The sequence below is a fragment of the Homo sapiens genome, chromosome 2 (assembly GCF_000001405.40).
Source record: "Homo sapiens chromosome 2, GRCh38.p14 Primary Assembly".
In the NCBI taxonomy this organism is placed as follows: domain Eukaryota; kingdom Metazoa; phylum Chordata; class Mammalia; order Primates; family Hominidae; genus Homo; species Homo sapiens.
Window position 1 is genome coordinate 231,674,851 of NC_000002.12, and position 23,646 is coordinate 231,698,496.

At 56.2% G+C, this 23,646-nt stretch overlaps 17 annotated features.

Annotated features, from left to right (window-relative positions):
* Positions 8-302: an enhancer, noted in NCBI's record as "tiled region #275; HepG2 Activating DNase unmatched - State 4:PromP". NCBI's record gives its function as "activates a minimal TATA promoter and a strong SV40 promoter by Sharpr-MPRA in HepG2 cells {active_cell/tissue: HepG2}" and the evidence as "EXISTENCE:reporter gene assay evidence [ECO:0000049][PMID:27701403]".
* Positions 8-471: a biological region, named in NCBI's record as "Sharpr-MPRA regulatory region 275".
* Positions 222-471: an enhancer, noted in NCBI's record as "active region_17306". NCBI's record gives its function as "activates an Ori minimal core promoter by ATAC-STARR-seq in GM12878 lymphoblastoid cells {active_cell/tissue: GM12878}" and the evidence as "EXISTENCE:reporter gene assay evidence [ECO:0000049][PMID:35858748]".
* Positions 5,077-5,156: an enhancer, noted in NCBI's record as "active region_17307". NCBI's record gives its function as "activates an Ori minimal core promoter by ATAC-STARR-seq in GM12878 lymphoblastoid cells {active_cell/tissue: GM12878}" and the evidence as "EXISTENCE:reporter gene assay evidence [ECO:0000049][PMID:35858748]".
* Positions 5,077-5,912: a biological region, named in NCBI's record as "NANOG-H3K27ac-H3K4me1 hESC enhancer GRCh37_chr2:232544680-232545472".
* Positions 5,120-5,912: an enhancer, noted in NCBI's record as "NANOG-H3K27ac-H3K4me1 hESC enhancer chr2:232544680-232545472 (GRCh37/hg19 assembly coordinates)". NCBI's record gives its function as "activates a minimal SCP1, AML or CMV promoter by ChIP-STARR-seq in naive H9 embryonic stem cells {active_cell/tissue: H9 hESC(naive)}" and the evidence as "EXISTENCE:reporter gene assay evidence [ECO:0000049][PMID:30033119]".
* Positions 5,317-5,406: an enhancer, noted in NCBI's record as "active region_17308". NCBI's record gives its function as "activates an Ori minimal core promoter by ATAC-STARR-seq in GM12878 lymphoblastoid cells {active_cell/tissue: GM12878}" and the evidence as "EXISTENCE:reporter gene assay evidence [ECO:0000049][PMID:35858748]".
* Positions 5,477-5,556: an enhancer, noted in NCBI's record as "active region_17309". NCBI's record gives its function as "activates an Ori minimal core promoter by ATAC-STARR-seq in GM12878 lymphoblastoid cells {active_cell/tissue: GM12878}" and the evidence as "EXISTENCE:reporter gene assay evidence [ECO:0000049][PMID:35858748]".
* Positions 5,947-6,666: a silencer, noted in NCBI's record as "silent region_12439". NCBI's record gives its function as "represses an Ori minimal core promoter by ATAC-STARR-seq in GM12878 lymphoblastoid cells {active_cell/tissue: GM12878}" and the evidence as "EXISTENCE:reporter gene assay evidence [ECO:0000049][PMID:35858748]".
* Positions 6,706-7,497: an enhancer, noted in NCBI's record as "NANOG-H3K27ac-H3K4me1 hESC enhancer chr2:232546266-232547057 (GRCh37/hg19 assembly coordinates)". NCBI's record gives its function as "activates a minimal SCP1, AML or CMV promoter by ChIP-STARR-seq in naive and primed H9 embryonic stem cells {active_cell/tissue: H9 hESC(naive and primed)}" and the evidence as "EXISTENCE:reporter gene assay evidence [ECO:0000049][PMID:30033119]".
* Positions 10,532-10,581: an enhancer, noted in NCBI's record as "active region_17310". NCBI's record gives its function as "activates an Ori minimal core promoter by ATAC-STARR-seq in GM12878 lymphoblastoid cells {active_cell/tissue: GM12878}" and the evidence as "EXISTENCE:reporter gene assay evidence [ECO:0000049][PMID:35858748]".
* Positions 11,185-11,910: an enhancer, noted in NCBI's record as "H3K4me1 hESC enhancer chr2:232550745-232551470 (GRCh37/hg19 assembly coordinates)". NCBI's record gives its function as "activates a minimal SCP1, AML or CMV promoter by ChIP-STARR-seq in primed H9 embryonic stem cells {active_cell/tissue: H9 hESC(primed)}" and the evidence as "EXISTENCE:reporter gene assay evidence [ECO:0000049][PMID:30033119]".
* Positions 12,608-12,767: an enhancer, noted in NCBI's record as "active region_17311". NCBI's record gives its function as "activates an Ori minimal core promoter by ATAC-STARR-seq in GM12878 lymphoblastoid cells {active_cell/tissue: GM12878}" and the evidence as "EXISTENCE:reporter gene assay evidence [ECO:0000049][PMID:35858748]".
* Positions 12,608-13,361: a biological region, named in NCBI's record as "H3K27ac-H3K4me1 hESC enhancer GRCh37_chr2:232552197-232552921".
* Positions 12,637-13,361: an enhancer, noted in NCBI's record as "H3K27ac-H3K4me1 hESC enhancer chr2:232552197-232552921 (GRCh37/hg19 assembly coordinates)". NCBI's record gives its function as "activates a minimal SCP1, AML or CMV promoter by ChIP-STARR-seq in naive and primed H9 embryonic stem cells {active_cell/tissue: H9 hESC(naive and primed)}" and the evidence as "EXISTENCE:reporter gene assay evidence [ECO:0000049][PMID:30033119]".
* Positions 21,603-22,104: an enhancer, noted in NCBI's record as "H3K4me1 hESC enhancer chr2:232561163-232561664 (GRCh37/hg19 assembly coordinates)". NCBI's record gives its function as "activates a minimal SCP1, AML or CMV promoter by ChIP-STARR-seq in primed H9 embryonic stem cells {active_cell/tissue: H9 hESC(primed)}" and the evidence as "EXISTENCE:reporter gene assay evidence [ECO:0000049][PMID:30033119]".
* Positions 22,105-22,604: an enhancer, noted in NCBI's record as "H3K4me1 hESC enhancer chr2:232561665-232562164 (GRCh37/hg19 assembly coordinates)". NCBI's record gives its function as "activates a minimal SCP1, AML or CMV promoter by ChIP-STARR-seq in primed H9 embryonic stem cells {active_cell/tissue: H9 hESC(primed)}" and the evidence as "EXISTENCE:reporter gene assay evidence [ECO:0000049][PMID:30033119]".

Below are 23,646 nucleotides of genomic sequence, written 5' to 3' on the forward strand. Positions count from 1 at the left end.
GGACGTGAGGGCTGGGGGCTGGCAGCAGATGGGTTAACTCCTGGCCTGGCTCCAGAAGGATGCCCCGTCAGCCTGCAAACCCCTCTGGACTCCTGGCACCCCTCCCCTCCCACACGGCCCCTCTACCCTCCGACTGAAGGGCACAGGGGCTCCCCCAGGTGGCCAAATGCACGAAGGCCAGAAACGGGGGAGTCCGGCAAAGACTCACTGCAAACAGCTCGCCCCTTCCGCCCCATAAATACAGCTCCCTGGTCGGACCAGGTGTTCTGACTTGGGATTTGGAAAATCAGGCCACCTGTATGTGGATTTGCGTCTGTAGGAAGCCAGCGGCTTTGCAGCCCAGGTGTTGTAAAGTATTCTTAGCAGGCTGTGGGGGAACTGCTTGCAGCCATTCTAAAGCTGTGGCAGGGTTTAGAATGACACACTCTGCCATGTGTCATGGGTCACAGGACACAGAGATATGGGGACAGGAAACAGCCCAGAGGCCCAGCTCGAAGCCAGAAATGCACCAGTAACCACTATCATGTATAACATGCCTCTGTGTGCCTGTCACCATGCTCAAGGCTTTCCATCCCTCGTCTCATTTACTTCTCACAACAGCCTAGGAGTTAGGCACTCTGATTCTCCCCATTTAGCAGATGAGGAAACTGAGGCTGAAGTTAAATCCTTTGTCTAGAATCACACAGCTAGACAAAGCCTGAACTTGAACTCAAATATGTCTGCCTCCCAGCTCTTTGCTCTTTTTTTTTTTTTTGAGATGGAGTCTCGCTGTGTCGCCCAGGCTGGAGTGCAGTGGCGCAATCTTGGCTCACTGCAAGCTCCGCCTCCCCGGTTCACGCCATTCTCCTGCCACAGCCTCCCGAGTAGCTGGGACTACAGGCACCCGCCACCGTGCCTGGCTAATTTTTTTGTTATTTTTAGTAGAGACGGGGTTTCACTGTGTTAGCCACGATGGTCTCGATCTCCTGACCTCGTGATCTGCCCGCCTCGGCCTCCCAAAGTGCTGGGATTACAGGCGTGAGCCACCATGTCCGGCCTTTAGCTCTTTGCTCTTATGCAAGCCTGCCTGTGCACAGGAAGATGACTTGGCCAAGTAACTAGAGAGCCACGAGTATACTCGTGAGATGCTCATCAACGAGGATGTGCAACGCCTTCTTACCCCAGAAGCATGCACAGCAGGCGCTCCGCAATTGCAGCTGGAACACAGGGAATGCATACACATGAGAAACAGGAAGGCAGGACCCAGCTTCCCCCAAAAACAGCACACACAGGCACCCAGGGGCCCTGATACCTGCCAACAGCAAGATGTGTACAAGACTCAGGGCTTGGGTACTGGTCCTTCTAGACCACAGGCACCTAGACACCATTGAGTGAACCAAGATCCAGAAAGTTCCAGTGACAGGTTGTGGCCCACTCTCGGCTTACTGGCAGGCTGAGCTCCAGCATTCTCAGACCCAGACAGGTTCCTGGTGACAGCCATGCACAAGCAGGGAACACATCCATGAATGTGGGTTCAATCACACACGGCTCCACCCACATATACATCTTCCAAAGACAAAACCTGCTGCCACCATCTGTGCAGACACAGTTGAACACCTGGCCTCTTGGTCACACAGTTCAGCTCACAATGACAAGCACACACACGACACACACAGAGAGACACAGACACACGCACACACAATACAGACAAACACACGCACATGAAAGGGGGTCTCAGAGAGAAGGGGAAGAAAGGAGGAGCTGGCTCAGGAGCTGAAAATCCCTGCAGTCCCACAGACACGCAGGGCCTAAGCCCTGGGATCCGGCCCCTGGGCTGCAGACTCTGTCCTCAGGTGGCTGCCACCCACCTTCTGGGGCCCCGCCTGCCTTCTGTCTTCTGTCCTTCCATTTTATTTATTTATTTATTTATATATATATATATATATATATTTTTTTTTTTTGAGACAGAGTCTTGCTCTGTCACCCAGGCTGGAGTGCAATGGTGAGATCTCGGCTCACTGCAACCTCCACCTCCCGAGTTCAAGCAATCCTCCTGCCTCAGCTCCCTAAGTAGCTGGGACTACAGGCACGTGCCACCGCACCTGGCTACTTTTTTTTTGTATTTTGAGTAGAGACAGGGTTTCACCATGTTGGCCAGGCTGGTCTCGAACTCCAGACCTCAGATGATCTGCCCCCTTTGGCTTCCCGAGGTGCTGGGATTACAGGCGTGAGCCACTGTGCCCAGCCTGCCCTCCCATTTTAGTTAGTTAGTTATTATTATTATTATTATTATTATTTATTGTATTTTATTTTTTTTGAGATGGAGTCTTGCTCTGTCGCCCAGGCTGGAGTGCAGGGCATGATCTCAGCTCACTGCAAACTCCGTCTCCCGGGTTCATGACATTCTCCTGTCTCAGCCTCCTGAGTAGCTGGGACTACAGGCACCCGCCACCACGTCCGGCTAATTTTTTGTATTTTTAGTAGAGATGGGGTTTCACCGTGTTAGCCAGGATGGTCTCGATCTTCTGACCTCGTGCGTGATCTGCCCGCCTCGGCCTCCCAAAGTGCTGGGATTACAGGCATGAGCCACCACGCCTGGCCAATATTATTATTTTTGAGACAAGCTCTCTGTCACCCAGGCTGGAGTGCAGTGGCGCCGTCACAGCTCATGGCTCGCTGCAGCCTCAGCTTCCTAGGCTCCAGCGATCCTCTCACCTCAGCCTCCCAATTAGTTGGGACTGCGGGAGTCAGCCACCACACCTGGCCACCTGACTAATTAAAACTTTTTTTTTTTTTTTGCAGAAATTGCGGGGGGAGGGGTCTCACTATGTTCCCTAGGCTGCTCTTGAACTCCTGGGCTCAAGCGATCCCCCTGCCTCAGCCTCCCAAAGCAAAGCACTGGGATGACAGGCATGAGCTACCTTGTCTGGCCACCTTCCTGTTTTAAACGCTGAGCCGAGGCCTGAAATGCCCCTGATGACCACCAGAGGGCGGATGAGCATCAAATAATCCCTTCAGCCAGCCTCCTTCCAAAACCCTCCTCATTCATTCATTCTGAAACATGTATTAAGCACCCGTTTGTGCCAGGTCCTGGGACACAGAGAAGAAAGGTGGGGGAAAGTAGGGGAAAGGCGATTAAGGCAAGGGAAGAGGTGTGTGCCTAAAGTCCGGTGGGAATGGAGGTTAGATTTTGGGGAAAGGTGTTGGTAGGAGGGGCTGGGTAAAAAAAAAAAAAACCCAGCTAGACTGTACTGAGTATCAGCAGTGTTCCAAGCTGTTCCAGAGTTTTTTTGTTTTGTTTTGTTTTGTTTTTTCTTTTTCGAGACGGAGTTTCGCTCTTGTTGCCCAGGCTGGAGTGCAATGGGGCAATCTCGGCTCACCGCAACCTCTGCCTCCTGGGTTCAAGCAATTCTCCTGCCTCAGCCTCCTGAGTGGCTGAGATTACAGGCATGCACCACTATGCCTGGCTAATTTTGTATTTTTAGTAGAGATGGGGTTTCACTGTGTTGGTCAGGCTGGTCTTGAACTCCTGAGCTCAGGTGATCTGCCCGCCTCGGCCTCCCAAAGTGCTGGGATTACAGGTGTGAGCCACCGAGCCCGGCCCAGAGTTGGTTGTTTTTTTTTTTTTTTTAGATGGAGTCTTGCTCTGTTGCCCAGGCTGGAGTGCAGTGGTGCCATCTTGGCTCACTGCAACCTCCACCTCCTGGGTTCAAGCGATTCTCCTGCCTCAGCCTCCCGAGTAGCCGGGATTACAGGCGCCCACCACCACACCCGGCTAATTTTTGTATTTTTAGTAGAGACGGGGTTTCACCATCTTAGCCAGGCTGGTCTTGAACTCCTGAACTTGTGACCTACCTCGGCCTCCCACAGTGCTGGGATTACAGGCGTGATCCACTGCGTCTGGCCCAGAGTTTTTTGTTTTTTGTTTTGTGACATGCATTAATTCATTTACTCCATGAGTGTATGAACTAGATATCCAGTATAACTTCCATTATTCTACTTATTATTGGTACAGTAAGGGAGACATAATGAGAGTTACTACTCCACCAGGCTGTTGTAGGGATTGAACTGCTCAGCAGGAGTATGTGTAAAGCACTCAGAAAACTGCCCTGTTGTTATCGTCATTCTCATTTTACAGATGGGGAAACTGAGGCATAGTTAGCAAGGAGTAGGGGTCAATCATGAGCAGGCTGGTTCCAGTGCATGAGTGGAGGAGGCCAAGGCAGTGGCTGGGGAGCAGAACAGGAGAGGTAGGGGCGTGTGGGGCATCTGAGTGGAGGAGAAGCATGGGGGCCCAGGCCTACCCTCTGGCCTTGACCTGGGAGAGGGCCTCCATATCCCCAGGGATGAAGATAAAGGACAAACAGCCCCCAGATCCCTCTGCCTCATCTTTCTTGGAGAGCTTGGGGAGGTGTGAGGGCCAGGTCCCTAAACTCTGGCTCCCTTCTGTTTGGGGCTCATGGGGCTCGGGGCTCATGGGGCTCAGGGCTCCACAGCGATGGGCCTCTGGACTGGTCTCTCCCATCCGGCCTGGCACCCTAGCCCTGGCCCATGCGTTGGGGACAAGGGGCCTACCCACTCTGTGGCTGCCAGTCCCCCAGCATCTGGGCAGAGTGATAACACCCTTCCACCTCCCTACACATGTTGAGGCTTTACTCCCACAAAGCCCTCTTCTCATTTTTATTTATTTATTTTTTTTGAGATGGAGTCTCGCTCTGTCGCCCAGGCTGGAGCACGGTGGCACGATCTCAGCTCACTGCAACCTCCATCTCCCAGGTTTAAGCAATTCTCCTGCCTCAGCCTCCTGAGTAGCTGGGGCTACAGGTGCCTGCCACCACGCCCGGCTACTTTTTTTGTATTTTTAGTAGAGACGCGGTTTCACCGTGTTAGCCAGGATGGTCTCGATCTCCTGCCCTTGTGACCCGCCCGCCTCGGCCTCCCAAAGTGCTGGGATTACAGGCTTGAGCCACCGTGCCCGGCTAATTTTTTGTATTTTTACTAGAGATGGGGTTTCACCGTGTTAGCCAGTGTGGTCTCAATCTCCTGACCTCGTGATCTGCCCGCCTCGGCCTCTCAAAGTGCTGGGATTACAGGCGTGAGCCACTGCGCCCGGCCTAAAGCCCTCTTTTCTATAGGATCCCATCTAATCTTCACAGCAATTTGGGAGATAGGCCCTTATTATATTAGTCTTACAACTGCAGGAGCCACGTGGGAAGGAAGGGGATTGCCCCAGGTCACACGGCTCCTCCCTGGGCCAGCCCTCTGCCATGATTTTTGCCGCAAATCATGAGCTCTTACTCCCACGCCGCCCTGTTCCCTGCACTACCGGACCCTTGGTGGCCATCTAGGGGATGGAAGTAGCTGTCCCTTGCGGATGATGACCCCTGTGCCGGACTGGGGATGGGGCTGCATGAGGCATGGTTTAGAGTCACCAGCATTCAAAGGGGCAGAATCTGAGTCCAACTTCATTCCAGGCTGGGGACACCTGGGGAGGCGGGAACCAGCTGTGTGAGGAACAGAGCCTCCAGAAAGGTGGGGTTGGAGTGGGACGTGCCTGGGCAGGCAAGTGGGGACAAAGAGGGCGCCGGCACACCTGGCGGCCAGGCAGCCCGCGCCCGCCAGCACAGATTCAAAGTGGAGCCGAGGCTGTGATTGGCGGCCCAGCCCAAGCCCCACCCCTTCTCTCACCTCCCAGGCCGCTGGGAAAGACGCAGGGAATGGAGAAGGCCCCTCATCCCGCCTTTAACCACGCAGCAGTGGCCTGGCTGGTAGTGAACTGCTAACAACCTCTCCTGCTCCAAACCCTGCCGGGCCCCCGCTTGGCATTCTGGCGCCGCCTTCGGTCCCAGTGACTCCTGGAGCTGCTGGGGCTCCGGCCATCGAATCACCCCTCCCTGAGCCGTCTTTCAGCCTGCGGCCTCCTCCACTAACTGGTCTTACCCCAACCCGCCCTCTCCAATGTCCCCTGTTCTCTGAGCGCTCTCCCAGTCCAGCCACCAGCCACGGCCAGGCCCAGGACGGAGTCGCTTTCTGGGCCCCGTCCCGTGCCCATCGGGCTTTTCCCCCACAGCGGTGGCCCAGCCCCTGCTTGGACCCCGGGGACTCCGAGCGCAGCTGGGCCGGGGGTGGCAGCGGGGGAGGCCGGTGCACAGGTTGCCGGACCGCGGCGGGGGCAGGCGGCGGAGGCTGGGCGGGAACCCGACTCTGGGCCCGCGCCCCGCCCCGGCGCAGATGGCGGCGGCGCGGGCTGGTCCCGGGCCGCCGCTGGGGGCTCGGGTTTCGGCCGAGAGGGGCGGGGCGAGCGCCTGGGGGCCCCGGGGAGGCTGCGGCCCAATCACTGCCCGGCCCGGACGCTGCCCCCGACCCCGGCCTCCAATCACTGCCTGGCCGGACCGCCCCCGCTCCGCTGCGTCCTTTGTTCCCGCTCCCCTCTGCCTTCCCGGGCGCCCCGCTCCGGCCCTGCGGCTTCCGGCCCGCGCGGACCCTGCCGTGTGGACGCGTGTGGGCTGCGCCCGCCCCGGGCGCACTCCGGGCCCCAACGCCAGGCACAGGCCCGCTTGTGGCTGGGCACGCTCGTGTGCCCTTGGCGGCCCCGGGCGCTTCGGAGGGCCTGGCCAAAGCTCCCAGAAGAGCCCTTTGGAGGGACTGAACTTTGACCAGGGGCAGAGGGCAACGGAGGAATCCAGGACCCGGGCAGTGTCCAGCCCGGGCCCCACCTTCCCTTCCCGGGCTGCGGCTCTCCTCACTCTCAGCCTCCTTGCTTTGCCCACGCTGCTGCCATGGCCTAACTTCTTTTCACGTACATTCCAGCCTTCCTTCCAGACCCGTTTTGGGGGTGCATCGTCTGTGACGCCACCCCCACCCCGGTAGTGGTCCCTTTTTGGTCTGGGTCTGAGGCCTCCCCAGCAGAGAGCCCCAGCGCCCGGCAGGGCTCACTTACAGTGCTGCAAGGGGCCCTCAACAAGCCTTGGTCCCCAAGCTTCCGCGGGCACCCCAGGCCTGATCTTGGTTCCGTGTGAGGCTGCGTGGAGGCTCTGTCACTCACTGAATCGGAGCCGCGGTGTTCTCAGCGGTGAAATGGGCACGATAATAGTTAACGGGGTCAACTCTGTTTCCCAGGTCAGGACTGTCGTAAGGATTAAAAGAGCTGGCCGGGCGCGGTGACTCACGCCTGTAATCCCAGCACTTTGGGAGGCTGAGGCGGGCGGGTCACGAGGTCAGGAGATCAAGACCCTCCTGGCCAACGTAGTGAAACCTAGTCTCTACTAAAAATGCTAAATTAGCTGGGCGTGGTGGCGTGCACCTGTAGTCCCAGCTACTGGAGAGGCTCAGGCAGGAGAATCGCTTGAACCAGGGAGTTGGAGGTTGCAGTGAGCAGAGATCGCGCCACTGCACTCCATCCTGGCGACAGAGCAAGACTCAGTCTCAAAAACAAAACAAAACAAAAAAACCCTAAAATCTGTGAAGAGCAGAATACCCAGCTAGGAGCCATGGTGCCTACAGAGGCCCCACCCCTGCCTCTTCCTAATCCCCAGGTCCAGGGGACACTCCTGCTCTCTGTCTCCCTCCTGGAGTCCCCTCCCTGGACCTCTGCACCTTCTGCTCAGGACCCCACCCTCAGCCCCTTCTCCCCTTATTCTCTCCACCTTCTGCCAGGCCAGCCAATCTCAGACCTCCTTGCCCTGGCCCCACCTCTCTTCTGGGTCCTCTGGAGATATCCCTCAAACACCTCCAACCAGTTTTTCTCAAATTCAACGTCCTCAGCAGCAACCCACTGGCCACATGTGTTTCTATTTCTGTGGAGGACTCACCATCCTCACCACTGCCCACCCTAGAGACCCGAGTGTCCTCGTCACCCTAGTGGCACCCCACCGTATGCTGGGGCCAAGCCTGTGCTCTCAGGCCTAGCCTACCCTGTTCTCCCAGGGGCAGCGCCTTGGCCCACACTCTTCTCCTTTTGGCCTGATCTCCTAATCTGTCCCTTAGCCCTCTGCCTCCAGTCTGTAGGACCCACTGCCGGGAGGGCTCCCCAGCGCTGCCCTCAGCGTCCAGTCCCAGCTCCTGGGTATAACTGACAGAGCCCAGCTCCTGGGTGTAACTGACAAAGCCCTGCCATCTGGCCCTGCCTGCCTTCCTGTTTCAACTACAGGCACACAGAATTACTCCCGCTGAAGCCCGTGATGCAGGCGAGGAGGTTGGGAGTGGGTCCACCTTCCCAGGGCCCCTAGCAGCAGAAGAAGGGCCAGGCCCTGGGGGCAACCAGAGGGGCAGCCGAGGCTGGGAGCAGGCTGGCTCTGCAGACAGGCTCTGCAAACAGGCACACAGGGTGTGAATCCTGACTCTGCCCTTGCCCTGCTTAGTGACTTTGGCTTGGTTACTTACCCACTCTGCCTCTCATGGTATCCCAGATGGGTTTAATATCACCTTCTGGAGAAGAATTTGGGACCCAGGGCCAAAAATGGTCAGGGGCTGCCTTCCCTCTGGGATCCCCCAGGGCCCCAGCTTCTAAATCACTTGGATGGGGGGAAGCGGAGGAGGAGGGCCTGATATGGAGGAGCCAGTTGGGAGGCACTGGGGAGGAGGGGAGGAGTAGGGGGGCTGAGGGGGCAGGGGAGGCTGACAAAAGAGACCAGCTGCTGTTTGCACACAAACCCCAAGTTGATAATGAGTGGAGGGGTGGGGCGGGGCGGGGAAATGGCTTGGCAGGAGCCTCTGCCAGCTGAAGAGGCTGCCCAGAATGCCCCCCCCTACCCCACAGACCCCAGCTCTGGGCTCTCACTACCCACGCCCAGGGCATAAATCTGCTCCCAAGACTGCAGCAGGAAGGGCAGGAGGGCCCAGTCTGGGCAATCTGGTCCCCACTAAGCCCAAGGCTTAAATCCTTCTTGGGCCACACTCATCCTGAGCCCTGCCCTGGGGAAGCGCTTGTCATGGAGCCCATGACCCCGCAAGGAGCTGGGAGCAGGCCCAGGCTCCCTCTCTGAGCTCCTGGTTAGAATGAAGGCCCTTGGAGAGGCTCTGAAGAAGAGGGGAGGCTCCCAGATGTGAGGCCTTGAAGAGTCCTCTGTACTGCAGCCTCCCGGACAGAATCAAAAAGGCAGACCCAGGGATGAGGGGTCAGGAAGCCCCTGTCAGCCCCTTTGCCCCCAGTAATGCCAGGAGGGCTCTGGGTAGTCCCCTAGATAGGATGCAGACAAACAAAGGCAAAGAACAAACTGTTGCAGTGGCTCACGCCTGTAGTCCCAGCTGCTCAGGAGGCCAAGGCAGGAGGATTGCTTGACCCTGGGGTGTTGGAGGCTACAGTGAGTCATGATTGCACCATTGCACTCCAGCCTGGGCAACAGAGCAAGACTCCATCTCCAAAAAGAAGAAGAAAAAAAAAAAAGCTAAGGAAGACCAGCTGGGCTCCCTGGGTTGTCAGGAGTGGGAACCCCCCCCCCCCCGTTTACTCACCCCCATCTGCCTGGAGAGTCATGGAAGGGCTTCCCTTTCTGTGGCCCCAGGGCCCTGCTCTGTCCGTTTGTGCATGCACCCCCCTGCCCCTAGAGTCTGACTGGCCTGTTGGCATCCCCCTCCAGGCAAAGAGCTGCCCCGTGCCCGCAGCCGCCTCCTGCCATGTGGGCTGTGGGCGCAGCTGACAGGCTGTGCGTGCAGGAGAGCGAGAGCACGTGCTCCTGCTGCTGCCGGGTGCCAGCCTAGCAACGGCTCCCAGGGGCCCAGAGAGGTGGTGCTGGCAGGGGATGGCAGCTCTGGTGCCCTCCCCACCGCGCTGCCTCCTAGTTCCCTTGCTGCTTGAGCTCCCTGCCAACACCTGCTCCAGAAGAGGGTCAGCCTGGCACTGGGCCCCAAGGACAGCAGTGGACCACAGCAGCCTGCACAACTCGGAGGCCTCAGTCTTCTGCTGGGGCTGGTCCCTAAGAAGCCAGGGGCTGAGCTTCATGGGGAGCAGGGAGGAAACCCCGCTGTGTGAACCAGGAGCCCCGCCTTGGGCAGAGCATGGTTGAGGAGCAGGATGGTTCTCTTGGGTGCCCTTCCTAACAGCTCACCCCCTTCTCAAGGCAAGAGGGAGACTGGGTGCGGCAGGAGGGGAGGGAGGTAGAAGAGCCAGGCAAAGGCTTGGAGGGGCGATGAGAGAGGTTGGGGGAGAGGCACACAGCGAGGAGGAGGAGGATGGGGAAGGGGAGGAAGAGTGAGAGGGGAAGGGGGAGGAGCGGCATGCAGCCAGGTGGTGGAGGGACCTTGAATGCTGAGCAAGTAGTTAGTCCTGGTGTCAGTGGGAGCCACAGAAGATGCTGAGCAAGGAGCCACCAGAGGCACAGAGCAGGAGGGAGATCACGGCTACAGGGCAGTGAGAAGAAGCCAGAGGGGTCCGCATTCGGGGAGTGGTGCCCTCCTGTAGGGGCAGCTGGAACCCAGGCCTGGTTCCAACCTGTGCTTGAGCTGCTGTGGGCAGCTAGGCAGCTGTGATTTGGGGCAACATGATGGCCTGTCCCTGTTTGTTGGGAGGGTCAGATAGTATAATGTGGGCAGAGCTGTCCTGGAAGGGAATTACTGTCACTAGTAGGGAGGAAGCATGGCTTGGATTGGGGCTTAGGCTCCCGAGTCACAAGGCTTAGCCTCTACGTGTCAGAAATGGGCACCTTTGCTCACTTCCCCTCCTGGGCTCTGGGGGCAGTGGTGTCCACAGTGAGCGCTGGTGGGCTCCTGAGGGGCCCTGCTTGGCACTGGTCATGCAGCTGGGGCCACAAGCAGTATGTGTCCTTGAGCCCAAATGTGGCACGAGGTGGTGAGGGGAGGAGCTTGGTCTGAGTGGGCACGTGAATAGGCAGGAATGCGGGGGGTTTGAGCAACGGCCCACAGAGGCAGACCAGTAACCAGCGTGAGGGGCTCCAGAGCCCTAAGAGAGGCCTGGGTACCACCAGGGAAGAGGCAGCCGGGGACAAGGAGCCAGCAGCACACCAGGTTCTAGAGGGTGAATGGGACTTGATATGAAAGGGATGCTGGAGTGTAGACGTTTTCCTCCTATGCCTGAGCGTGTGCCCACGTGCCCGCCCTGGTGCACCTGGATGAGTGTGTGTTCGGGATGCTTTCTCTGAGCTGGATTTCACAAGCCACCACAGGGCCCACCTCACTGGGGGGCTTCCAGGGCACCGGGCCCTAGGGATGGAGCATGCCTATTTAAGATGCCAAGGCCAGTGCCAAAGAGGCCAGCCCAGTGCCACCCGGAGAGGGGACTGAGCTGGCTGGGGCCCCAGGCCTTACCCGGCCCACCCTCCCAGGCCACAGAGGAGGCATTGATGGCACAAGAGCACCGCAGCTGGCGCAGCATGGGCACTGCTGGGTCTTGGAAGGGGGAGTCGGGATGAGCCTGCAGCCTGAGCTGCTGCCAAACAGGCCCCTGAACCCAAAGGCGAGAGTGCCTATGGTCAGCCTGTGCCCTGGGCATCCTGGTCTCCAGTGCTCCTGGGCAGGCAGGGGTACCTGAGTCAGTGCCCACACACCCATCTGTGGGTGTTGGCAGGAGGTCAAGGACCCCCAGTCCACCCTCACCCCCGCTCAGACTTCTGTGACCCTTCCCCGCTGGGCAGCACCTGGGCCTCTGTGCCCGGCCCACCGTGAGGGTCTGGCCTTGCTCCTCACCCCTGGACTCCCAGTGAGCCCCTGTACTCCCACCTCTCCCCCTGATTCTCTGCTCTTCTGTGCCTTGAGCCCTTTGAGTGCCCCCCTTTTTTCTCAGCCAACTTATCTGACCAAGGCTTTACCTCCCCCTCAAGCCTCCAGGCAGGACTGTCTCCTCCATGGAGCCTCCTAGGATTGCTCCAGGCCATCTAGGTCACCAAGTATGCCCTGTGTTTTGCAGGCACCTCCAGGGGAGCTAATTCTCATGCTAGATTCAGCCTCCCCGCATGCAAAGCTCCTTAGGGGATGGAGCTGAGACCTACATTGTCCTCCCTTTCTCCTTGTAGGCACTGAATAAATGTCACAGTGGCCGGCAGACCACTCTGCCCGCTTCCCAGTTTCCCTCCAATTTTCAGGCAGGTTGTCCCCAAAGTCAGGCTCAGGTAAGTGAGGCCCTGCAACCTCCCCTGGCCTCAGCCTGGCTCCATCACATCCCACAGGGCCAAGCCCAGGTGGACACCCACATTCATACAGACATGCACCCGCATAAACACACAGTGAAAAAAGGACTCAGGCACGGGCACACTCCTACAAGCACAGATGCAGACATGCATTCATAACACACCTGCACATGCTGACACACGGGCATGTATACATGGACAAAAACAGACACAGATGTGCAGACAGACACACACAGATGCATGCTCACAGATTCACACACACACTCACGGGCACACCCTGCGCACATCAGACACAGGCATTCCTGGGACACATCAGCAGACACAGACACACATAGACCTGCTCACATACAGCACATACTCACACAGAACCCACAGGCACCCACCAGCACACACCCGGCCAGGCCTTAGATGCTGGAAGAGGAACTGCTGATCAGGGACCTGGAGCTGCTACCTCCTCCCTCGAGGAGCCCCCCAGGCCGGCAGAGGGCACTCTAGGCCCCATCCCTCCAGGCCCAGCCACTGGAGGGTTAGGGGTTGGGAGGGAGCACGTGGTCACCTCCTGCCCTCCCAAGCCAGGTCCCTTTTGTTTCACCACCCCGCCAACTCCCGGGAGGCGGCTGTGCCTGGGGACCTCCTGTGACTATGCCTGGCGACCGAGAGTCCTGCAGGACCTGCCTGGTTGAGGTTGTGCTCATCTGAGCCCCAGAGATGAGCCTGGGGGGCTGTGGAGCAGTGAGAGGACCCAGGCTCCAGGCAGGTGCCCAGCACTAGGACAGCAGCCACCACAAGGATGGAGAGCCCGCCCATCACCCATGCCTGTTCCAGGCAGGACCGTGCAGCCCCCAGAGCCCTGCGATCCTCTGCCCCTCACAGTGCAGCCCAAGGGGCCAAGGGTGCTTACCCTGTGGCCTCCCCATTGTCCCTCTGAGAGCTTGTTAATGTACTGTCCCCTGGGCGGGAGGTGGGGAGGGGCTTCCAGAATGCTGAAATGGGAGCTGAGAACCCCAATGGCAAGCCCCTCAGTGTTCCCCTTCTCTCAGTGCCCGGCTCTTCTGACCTCACCTTTCAGTACCCCTTCACCCCAACTTGGAGTCTTGGAGGTTATGCGTGGGAATCATTCAAGACACCACGTCTGCTACTTACAAGTTAAGAGTCTTGGGCGAGTGATTTAACCTCCACAACCTCAGTTTTCTCATCTGTAAAATGGGCATCTTTAGCAGTCCCTGCCTTGCAGGTGGAGCTGGGGGCAAACAAGGCAGTGCATGCAGAGCCCTGGTTTGGTGCCAGGCCATGGTGGGTGGATATTGGCTGCTTTCGCTGTGGTGATCACTGTGTGCTGAGTGCTTTCCTGGCTGAGCCTTTGGGACAATGTGTGGACCCCAGCAGGGAGTCACATAGTATGTGCTCACTAAACCCTGGTACATGAACCAGAAAGGGATGGGGCAGCCCAGGAATGCCACACTTGTGCCATCAGCCAACAGCCAGCATCAGGGAGAGCCTGGCAAGATGCCGGGCCTTGTTTTCTAAGTGGTTTGTTTCTTGGGACTTGAGTTTCTATTTGGTAGGACCACGCTCTGGACCTGGTGATGGGCCTTGGCTGAATGAGGTTCCTCCTCCTCCCCCTTCCACCAAGGAAGGACGAGACTGACCCTCCCCACCCACCAGCAACCCCCAGTCTCCTTCCCAGTTGCTCCCATAATTAGGCCCTGTGCAGTTCAAGAGGGGGTGTCTGCACTGCCTCTCCTCCCCCAGCTTCATCAGGCCAAGGGTGGGGGGTCTCCCCTCCCTCAGGGGTGTTTCTGGCCCTCCCGAGGGCAGGCAGGGAGCTGGCCAAACCTGTGGCAGGGGTGGGGATTCTGTCCACCATCGTAGGGCCCCTTGCTAGGAGGTTAGCGGTACACGCCGCTCGGCAGGGCTGCGGTGTACTTAGGTACATGGGCCGTCGTTAGTGCCGGCCTCACTGCAAGTGAATTAGCTGGTCCTCAGGGAGCAAGTGCTGAAGGCTGCAGGCTCCTGGCCCTGGCCAGTGATTTATTACCACAACCTCACCCACAGCAGAGGCCGGTGGCATCCCTGCCCCCAGCCTACTGGCCTGGCCGGCGGCCGGGAGCAGGAGGCTGGTGCCCAGAGCTGCCCTGGCTGCCCGTCCACCTGCTACTCATCGGTCTATTCATCAGGACATCCCTGCTCCCTCCCACTGTTCCGCTGCCTTCATCCACCAGGCCCACCCACACGCAGGCCTGACCCACCCTGCCAGGCTCCGTCTCCTACTCCGAGTCCCCTGGCACCTTGGGTGACCCAAGGGAGGCCCCTTTGTCCTCCTTCCCCCACCTCTGTGTCTTTCTGCCCCCCTCAACTGGAGCCCCAGGATCCACTAACTGGCGTTGATGAATAGCAGAGGTCAGCTTGTGCCAAAAAGCAGGCCCTTGGCAGCCTCTAACAAGGTTGAGGGAGTCAGCCCCTTGGTCCCAGCCACAAAAGCCCTGAGGAACCCATCCCTCTCCCTTCCATGGCCCCCAGAATGTTCACTTCCTCCAGTGGAGGCAGGTGCTCAATGCGCATGTGCTGACGGGTGCACGGACGCATAGCTACCCTTCCCCACGGCAAGTGGCTCGTGCTTCATCCACTTGCGTGGCTCACATCTGCTCCCATGTCTCCATGTCTCTGGCTTGAAAACTGGCCTACTGCGGCCACAGAGTGAAAAACGCCCATATTCTGAGGCCAAAAGACCTGAATTCCAAACCTGGCCTTGTCTGTGAGCTGTGTGATCCTGTCTCTGAGCCAAAACGTCCTCAAGGTCATGTGAGGCCAACCCCCCGCCCCCCTGCTGGCTCTGAGGCATTGATCTTGTGCAGGGAATGCAGGGCATAGAGATGCCACCCAAATGCACTGCCACCACAGCAGAACTTGGCTCAAAGTGTTTGTCCTGGGGGTCTCCTTAGCACATATGTGTGCAATTTTCCTGGTATTGTTCTATGATCCTTGATGTGTTGCTCTGTAATTGGTCTCAAATGGTTTCACCATAATAAATAATATCTACAGAGCTGTTCAGAGTCTGCAAAGTACCTTTTTTCTCATTCTATTCCCACCTTTACAAAAAGAAATAGAGTGGCGGGCCACGGTGGCTCACGCCTGCAATCCCAGCACTTTGGGAGACCAAGGCGGGTGGATCACCTGAGGTCAGGAGTTCAAGACGAGTCTGACCAACATAGTGAAACCCCGTCTCTACTAAAAATACAAAAATTAGCCAGGCGTGGTGGTGCGCACCTGTAATCCCAGCTACTCAGGAAGCTGAGGCGGGAGAATCTCTTGAACCCGGGAGGTGGAGGTTGCAGTGAGCCGAGATCATGCCATTGCACTCCAGTTTGGGCAACAGAAGGAGACTTTGTCTCAAAAAAAAAAAAAGAAGAAAAGAAGCAGAGGCTCAGAGAAGTTAAGCTGGGGCCTCCCCTGACCCCCGGGATCTGATGGTTCATGGGAGAGGCCAGCGTTGCACTCATTAGGAGGCAGGGTTTTCTCATGAGCAGGCTGTGCTTTGACGTCCCAGGTGTGGGTGCATGACTGCTCACCTGGGTGTGCAGGTGTCCAGGCTGAGAGCAGGTGAGCCCCGAAGGGGGCTTATGGAGGAGTCATGCCTGCCATGGTGGGCTGTGGGACTGGGTTAGCTCCACAATCCCTTTCTAGTGTGGGGAAAGGGATTGGACCACATGAAATGCCTCTAGTGGAACTGAGTTTCTTTTCTTTTTTTTTTTTTTTTTTGAGAGGGAGTCTCGCACTGTCCCCTGGGCTGGAGTGCAATGGTGCTATCTCCGCTCACTGCAACCTCCGCCTCCCGGGTTCACACAATTCTCCTGCTTCAGCCTCCCGAGTAGCTGGGATTACAGGCACACACCACCACACTCAGCTAATTTTTTTTTTTTTTTTGTATTTTTAGTAGAGACGGGGTTTCACTATGTTGGCCAGACTGGTCTCGAACTCCTGACATCGTGATTCACCTGCCTCAGCCTCCCAAAGTGCTGGGATTACAGGCGTGAGCCACCACACCTGGCCTTCTTTTGAGATAGAGTTTTGCTCTTGTCACCCAGGCTGGAGTGCAATGGGACGATCTCAGCTCACTGCCATCTCTGCCTCCTGGGTTCAAGTGATTCTCCTGCCTGTCTCCCTGGTAGCTGAGATTACAGGCATGCGCCACTATGCCCTGCTAATTTTTTGTATTTTTGGTAGAGACGGGGTTTTGCCATGTTGACCAGGCTTGTCTTGAACTGACCTCAGGTGATCCGCCTGCCTCAGCCTCCCAAAGTGCTGAGATTACAGACGTGAGCCACTGCGCCTGGCCCTGAGTTTCCATCACCCAGATAAGTGGCATTATTAGCTGTTTGATTGATTTGCTTATTTTGTTGCTGTTTTGGTCAGAAAACTGAGGCACCAGGGAGGTACAGTGACTTGTCCCAGAGGCGCAGTAATGTGAGAATGGGGGATGAAAACAGCAAATCCGAGTACTGGGAGGGCGGGCTCTGCCAGAGGAAAGCTGGTGGGGGCAGCGATCAGCAGGGGAGGCCCCGGGAATCTACCTAGAATTGTCCACCCTGGAGTCCTAAAGCCCAGTCTGGAGTGCAGTGGCACACTCACAGCTGCTGCAGCCTCGACCTCCTGGGCTCAGGCAAACCTCCCACCTCAACCTCCCAAGTAGTTAGGACCTCAGGTGCAACACCACACTTGGCTAATTTTTTTTTCTCTTTTTTTGAGACGGAGTTTCACACTGTTGCCCCAGCTGGAGTGCAACGGCATGATCTTGGCTCACTGCAACCTCTGCCTCCTGGGTTCACGTGATTCTCCTGCCTCAGCCTTTAGAGTAGCTGGGATTACAGGTGCACACCACGACACTCGGCTAATTTTTTGTATTTTTAGTAGAGACGGGGTTTCACTACGTTGGCCAGACTGGTCTTGAACTCCTGACCTTGTGATCTGCCCGCCTCAGTCTCCCAAAATGCTGGGATTATAGACGTAAACCACTGCGCCTGGCCGCTAATTTTTCTTTCTTTCTTTCTTTCTTTCTTTGAGATGGAAGCTCACTCTGTTGCCCAGGCTGGAGTGCAGTGGCACGATCTCAGCTCACTGCAACCTCCGCCTCCCGAGTTCAAGCAATTCTCGTGCCTCAGCCTCCCGAGTAGCTTGGATCAAGGCATCTGCTACCACACCCAGCTATTTTTGTATTTTTAGTAGAGACGGTGGTTTCACCATGTTGGCCAGGCTGGTCTCGAACTCTTGACTTCAGATGATCCACCCGCCTCAGCCTCCCAAAGTGCTGGGATTACCGGCATGAGCCACCATGCCTGGCCAAAATGACTTCTTCTTTTTTTTTTTGAGACAGTTTCGCTCTGTCACCCAGGCTGGAATGCAGTGGCGCGATCTCGGCTCACTGCAACCTCCATCTCCCGGGTTCAAGTGATTACCCTGCCTCAGCCTCCAAAGTAGCTGGGATTACAGGCATGCGCCACCACACCTGGCTAATTTTTTGTATTTTTGGTAGAGACAGGGTTTTGCCATGTTGGCCAGGCTGGTCTTGAACTCCTGGCCTCAAGGGATCTGCCCGCCTGGGCCTCCCAAAGTGCTGGGATTACAGGCGTGAGCCACCATGCCCGGCTTAATTTTTTAATTTTTTTGCGAGACAAAGTCGCCCTATGTTGCCCAGGCTGATCTCAAATTCCTGGGCTCAAGTGATCCTCCTGCTCCGGCCTCCCAAGGTACTGGAATTACAGGCATGAGCCGCTGTGCCCTGCCAAAAGTTTTTTTTTTTTTTTTTTTTTTTAATACAGAAACATACAAGGGAGAATAAAACCAACACCCACAGATCTGCAGGGACCTGCTTGGTGCCCCGGCCCCTAGGAGGGGAAAGGGTGGTTGAACGGTTGGTGGTATCATGGGCACATGCTCGCATCTGCACACGCATGCACACATCTGTGGCCACATTCAGGACATGGGATCCGTGTTCATGGTTGTACAGACATGTACATGCACACCGAGAGACTGGGCGTGGGAGTGTGGAACGGGCCTGCTACAGGGAAGAGAGGACAGGCTGGGCCAAGGCCTGGGTGTGGCCGCGCGCCTGCAGGTGCCTCTTGCCCTGCGTTCTATGCCCGCACCAGGCCTGCCCCCAGTGGCGGCTCCATGCTGTGCTTCCATCCAGGTAGGCAAGGCAGGCCCCCTCAAATACCCACCAGCGAGCAGCTGGGGCTCGGGCCCCACAGCACTGTTTCCTAGGTTTTCAGGCTTGGCTCTTTCCTGGCCTTTCCCACTGGCCCCTCTGGCCAGACTGGTCCCCTGAGCTCCAGCAGCCTGAGGCAGTACATGGGCATGGCTGCCTAAGAACAGATGAGGATGGACATGCTTCTGTGGAGAGGGGAAGTTGGCTGACACCCGTGTGGACACACAGGAAACACTCAAATTCACTCACGTTGTTCCTGGGCTGTGGGGCCCAAGGAAGTGTGTTTCTGGTGGGAGTTTGGGGTGATAGCACAGAGCTCAGTGTGTCTATGCAGCAGGGGCCAGCAAGGCCCTGGCCTGAGGCCTTGGGATGACTGAGGGCCCCCTGGGAAGGGGACTCCAGGGCAGGGGTTGGAAACTTGGGAGCAGATCTGACTTCGGAGGTAACACCACCAACTGCGCTGCCACACATTCTTGAAAAGCAACAACCATAAGCTTTGAATACCAAGAACGGGCATTATGAACACATTATAAATGGCAGGTTGCTTTGTTATTGACATGTCATGCCAGTGGAAAGGCACCGCTGTTCCCCTTTCATCCTGAAGGGCAGCGCAGCTCTCTCCCACCTTGGCCCCAACTCAGCTCTTGCCCGCCTGGCACGTCTGTAGTTTCAGGTGCTCAGCTGGATACCAAGGCTGTAAGCCCCCAGGGGAGGTGGGGTCTTAAAGGGGGTCTCCCTTCTGCATCTCACTGGCGATCTGTGACCCCCCAGGGTCAGGGCCTTCCCTAAAGAACTCCCTCTGGGAGCAAGGGGTTGCTGGGCGAGGTGGTGCGCTCCCGCCAGCCTGCCTGTGGGGTCTCTGAGGCACTGGCCTGGGCCTGGTGTTCTGAGCTCCTGCGGCCTGTTCCTCAGAGTGTGGGACCACATTTCCTTAAGGCTGAGCAGCACGATGCCAATCCCAGGGATGTTCCTGTCTGTCCCATGAGGGAAAGCCAAATCGGAACCATTTGGTGTAAATGCCATGGAGGGGCCGTGCAGAGGCGTGGCTGGTTTCTTACTCATCCTTCAGTAAGGGAGGGAATGCCATAATCTCTTGGAAAGTTCCCTCAAAGGGCCAGACAATGACACTGGGGAAATGGAAGGTGACATGGATGTGACCACATAGTCACAAAGCTATGTCCAGGCGGGGGACAGTGGGAAGGGCTTATGTCCAGGCGGGGGACAGTGGGAAGGGCTTATGTCCAGGCAGGGGACAGTGGGAAGGGCTTATGTCCAGGCGGGGGACAGTGGGAAGGGCTTCATGAGTGGGGGCAGCCACTCACGGAGCCGGGACAGGGTCAAAGCCAGGGGACAAAGCTGGGACGGGGGCAAAGCCAGGTTGGTCCCCACCTCCACCAGTTCCTTCTGGCAGCCTTGATCTCCACTTGTGTGAAATGGGGACACCTGCCTTGATTGGCGTGAGGCTCAAATGACATAACCTATGGGAAACTGCCCTGGGTATAAAAGGCTCTAGTTTGTTTAATTAATTACCATTTTAATTAATTTAGGCCTCAGTTCTAAAGTTTGTAGAAATACCTAAAGGACGCTGGGCACAGTGGCTCATGCCTGTAATCCCAGCACTTTGGGAGGCTGAGGCGGGCGAATCACCTGAGGTCAGGAGTTCGAGATTAGTCTGACCAACATGGTGAAACCCGGTCTCTACTAAAAATATAAAAATTAGCTGGGCGTGGTGGCGTGCACCTGTAATCCCAGCTACCTGGGAGCCCGAGGCAGGAAAATCGCTTGAACCCAGGAGGTGGCAGTGAGCTGAGCTCGCACCACTGCACTCCAGCCTGGGCAACAGGGTGAGGCTCTGTCTCAAAAAAAAAAAAAAAAAAAAGGACAACAGGGAAAAAATAACTGAAGTTGTTGGGTCGAGGAAAATAGGGTAGGAAAGAAGAAGACAGAGACAGGGTGAGTCCTGTTGGCCTCCAGGAGGCCACGGAACCAAGAGCTGCAACTCACAGCTGGCACCGAGCTTCCTAGCCAAGAGAGAAGGAAGGGGACCAGTTACAAGACCTGGAGGCCCTATAAAGAAAAAAGGGAAACAAGTTATTCAAAAGCCTAGCTTTTCCTGGTAATAATAAGTGGCTGGTGATTATCAAGTGTTTTTTTTTTTTTTTAGATGGAGTTTTGTTCTTGTTGCCCAGGCTGGAGTGCAATGGCATGATCTCGGCTCACTGCAACCTCCGCCTCCTGGGTTCGAACGATTCTCCTGCCTTAGCCTCCCAAGTCTTAGCCTCCCAAGTAGCTGGATTACAGGCACCCACCATCATGCCCAGCTAATTTTTGTATTTTTAGTTGACACAGGGTTTGACTATGTTGGCCAGGTTGGTCTTGAACTTCTGACCTCAGGTGATACTCCCTTCTTGGCCTCCCAAAGTGCTATGATTACCGGTATGAGCCACAGAGCCTGGCCAAGTTTTTTTGTTTGTTTGTTTTTGTTTTTTGAGACAGAGTCTTGCTTTGTTATCCAGGCTGGAGTGCAGTGGTGCAATCTTGGCTCACTGCTACTTTGATCTCTTGGGCTTAAGCGATTCTCCCATCAGCCTCCTAAGTAGCTGGGATTACAGGCATGCACCACGAAGCCCGGCTAATTTTTAATTTTTTTTGTAGAGACAGAGGGGGTGTCCCACTATGTTGCCCAGGCTGGTCTTGAACTCCTAGGCTCAAGTGATCCTCCCGCCTTGGCCTCCCAAAGTGTTGGGGTTACAGGCATGCACCACCGGGCTGGCCAGGAGGTTGTTATATTCATGTGTTTTACATACGAGAAGCGGCTCACAGGGGTCACACTCTTGTCCGAGGACTCAGCTTCATGACACAGAAGCAGGCAAGGAGCCCAGTTCTGGGGGGCTCTTGCCCCACTCACAGAAGGGGCCACCTGGAGCCTGTGCTCCTAAACACTGAGCCACACTGTCCTGCTGGTGCTGAGGCCCGAAAGAAATTTGTCCTGTGGGTCCCCTTAAAAGGAACATTGTGCAATGCAGTACTTCCAGGCCCAACTCTGGAGCAAGGCCATGGGATAGGTTAGCCTGGAAACATGTTCAAGGCAGATGTTACCAATTATCTACTGATGCCATGAAAAATTTCAAAAGAACACCCCGGGAGCACATTTTTAGTAAGCCTTCTGGTGAGCCTCTGGCAACAAACAGTTGCAAAATGTCCTGCCCCCAGGTCACCAGGTCCTACTAGAAAAATCTTGCCCACAACTAGAAATCACTCATCTGGGACACCCTCCCTACCCTCATACCACCTTTGAGGCAACTGCTGGAGAATGAGGGCCTCAGTTTGTGAAAATAAAACTCCTGGCCAGGCATGGTGGCTCACACCTGTAATCTCAGCACTTTGTGGGGCCCAGATGAGAAGACTGCTTGAGCCCAGGAGTTCAAGACCAGCCTGGGCAACAAAGTGAGACCCCATCTCAAATACATAAAATGAAATAAAGTAAAACTGCTTATCAATCAACAGAGGACACCCCCAGATCCCCTCTGTGGTGCGTGAGGGGACAGGGTGGTCAAGGGGACTGGCACGTGGATGGTGGCAGTACTGCTTGTGACTTTTCCCCTTGAAGCTGAGGCTGCAACTGCAGGTAGCATGGGGCTCTGGAGTCAGCTGGGGTTCAGATCCCAGCTCTGCCACTGAATAACTGTAGGGCTTTGGGCAATGTCTGCTCACTCACGCTGAGTGGAGGACACAACCATGCCTTCCCCGCCCACGCCCAGCTCACAGGGTCCTCAGGGAGGCGGGTGCCAACACGGCCGTCCATGCTCAGAAATCTGCACTCCTGTCAGCCCTGCATGAGGGGAATGAGGTGGGGGAAGTAAAGAGACCTGTTTAGGACCAGTGTCAATCAAGCCTAGGCATGAATCCTGCAGGCAGCGAGCTCCCTGTCCCACTGTGGCTGGGGCAGAGGGACCTGAGAGGGGAGCGGCTGCAATGGAGACAAAGCATGGCGAAACCCTACTACTGCCAGGTGACAGTTCTCCATGAAGCTGAAAGCTTTGAAAGCTAGGGTTCTCAGCTAAGGATCTTTCTTTTTTCCACACCCAGGCCAGTATGCAATGGCGCGATCTCGGCTCACTGCAACCTCTGCCTCTCAGGTTCAAGAATTCTCTGCCTCAGCCTCCCGAGTAGCTGGGGTTACAGGCACACACCACCATGCCTGGCTAATTTTTTGTATCTTTAGTAGAGGCAGGGTTTCACTCGAACTCCTGACCTCATGATCTGCCTGCCTCTGCCTCCCAAAGTGCTGGGATTACAGGCATGAGCTACCGCACCCGGACTCTTTTTTTCTTTTGAGACCAAGGTGATTCACCTGCCTCAGCCTCCCAAAGTGCTGGGATTACAGGCGTGAGCCACCGCGCCCAGCCAGAATGTTTCTTGACACCCATCTCTCCCTGCTTTGAGAGCCGTTGCTTTGAGAGCTGTTTCATTTCATATAGAATCACAAATTTCTAATTTCTCTTTCATCTGTTTCTGCAGGTATTCAGAACACATTTTACTTTCCCTCATGAATGCCCTTGCATCCAAATTCAGCCTTAAGAGAAGCAGACATGTCTTTTTTTTCTTTTTCTTTTTCTTTTTTTTGAGATGGAGTTTCACTCTTGTTGCCCAGGCTGGAGTGCAATGGTGCGATCTTGGCTCACTGCAACCTCCGCCTCCCGGGTTCAAACAATTCTCCTGCCTCAGCCTCCCAAGTAGCTGGGATTCAGGCGCCCGCCACCACGCCCAGCTATTTTTTTGGTATTTTTAGTAGAGATGGGGTTTCACCATGGTGGCCAGGCTGATTTTGAACTCCTGACCTCAGATGATCCACCGGCCTCAGTCTCCCAAAGTGTTGCAATTACAGGCGTGAGCCGCCGCGCCCAGCCGAGAAGCAGACACTTCTGAAGAGCATTCCAGAACACATCATACAATCCTAAAAGTTTTTTTTTTTTTTTTAAGGCAGTCTTGTTCTCACCCAGGCTGCAGTGCAGTGGCTCGATCACAGCTCACTGTAACCTTGACCTCCTGGGCTCAAGCAATCCTCCCATCTCAGCCTCCAGAGTAGGTGGGAGTACCGGCATGTGCCGCTATATATGGCTATTTAAAAATTTTTTTCAGCTGGGCGCGGTGGCTCATGCCTGTAATCCCAGCACTTTGGGAAGCCAAGGTGGGTGGATCACCTGAGGTCAGGAGTTCCAGACCAGCCTGACCAACATAGTGAAACCCCGTCTCTACTAAAAATACAAAAATTAGCCGGGCATGGTGGCGAGCGCCTGTAGTCCCAGCTACTTGGGAGGCTGAGGCAGGAGAAATGCTTGAACCCGGGAGTTGGAGGTTGCAGTGAGTTGAGATCTCACC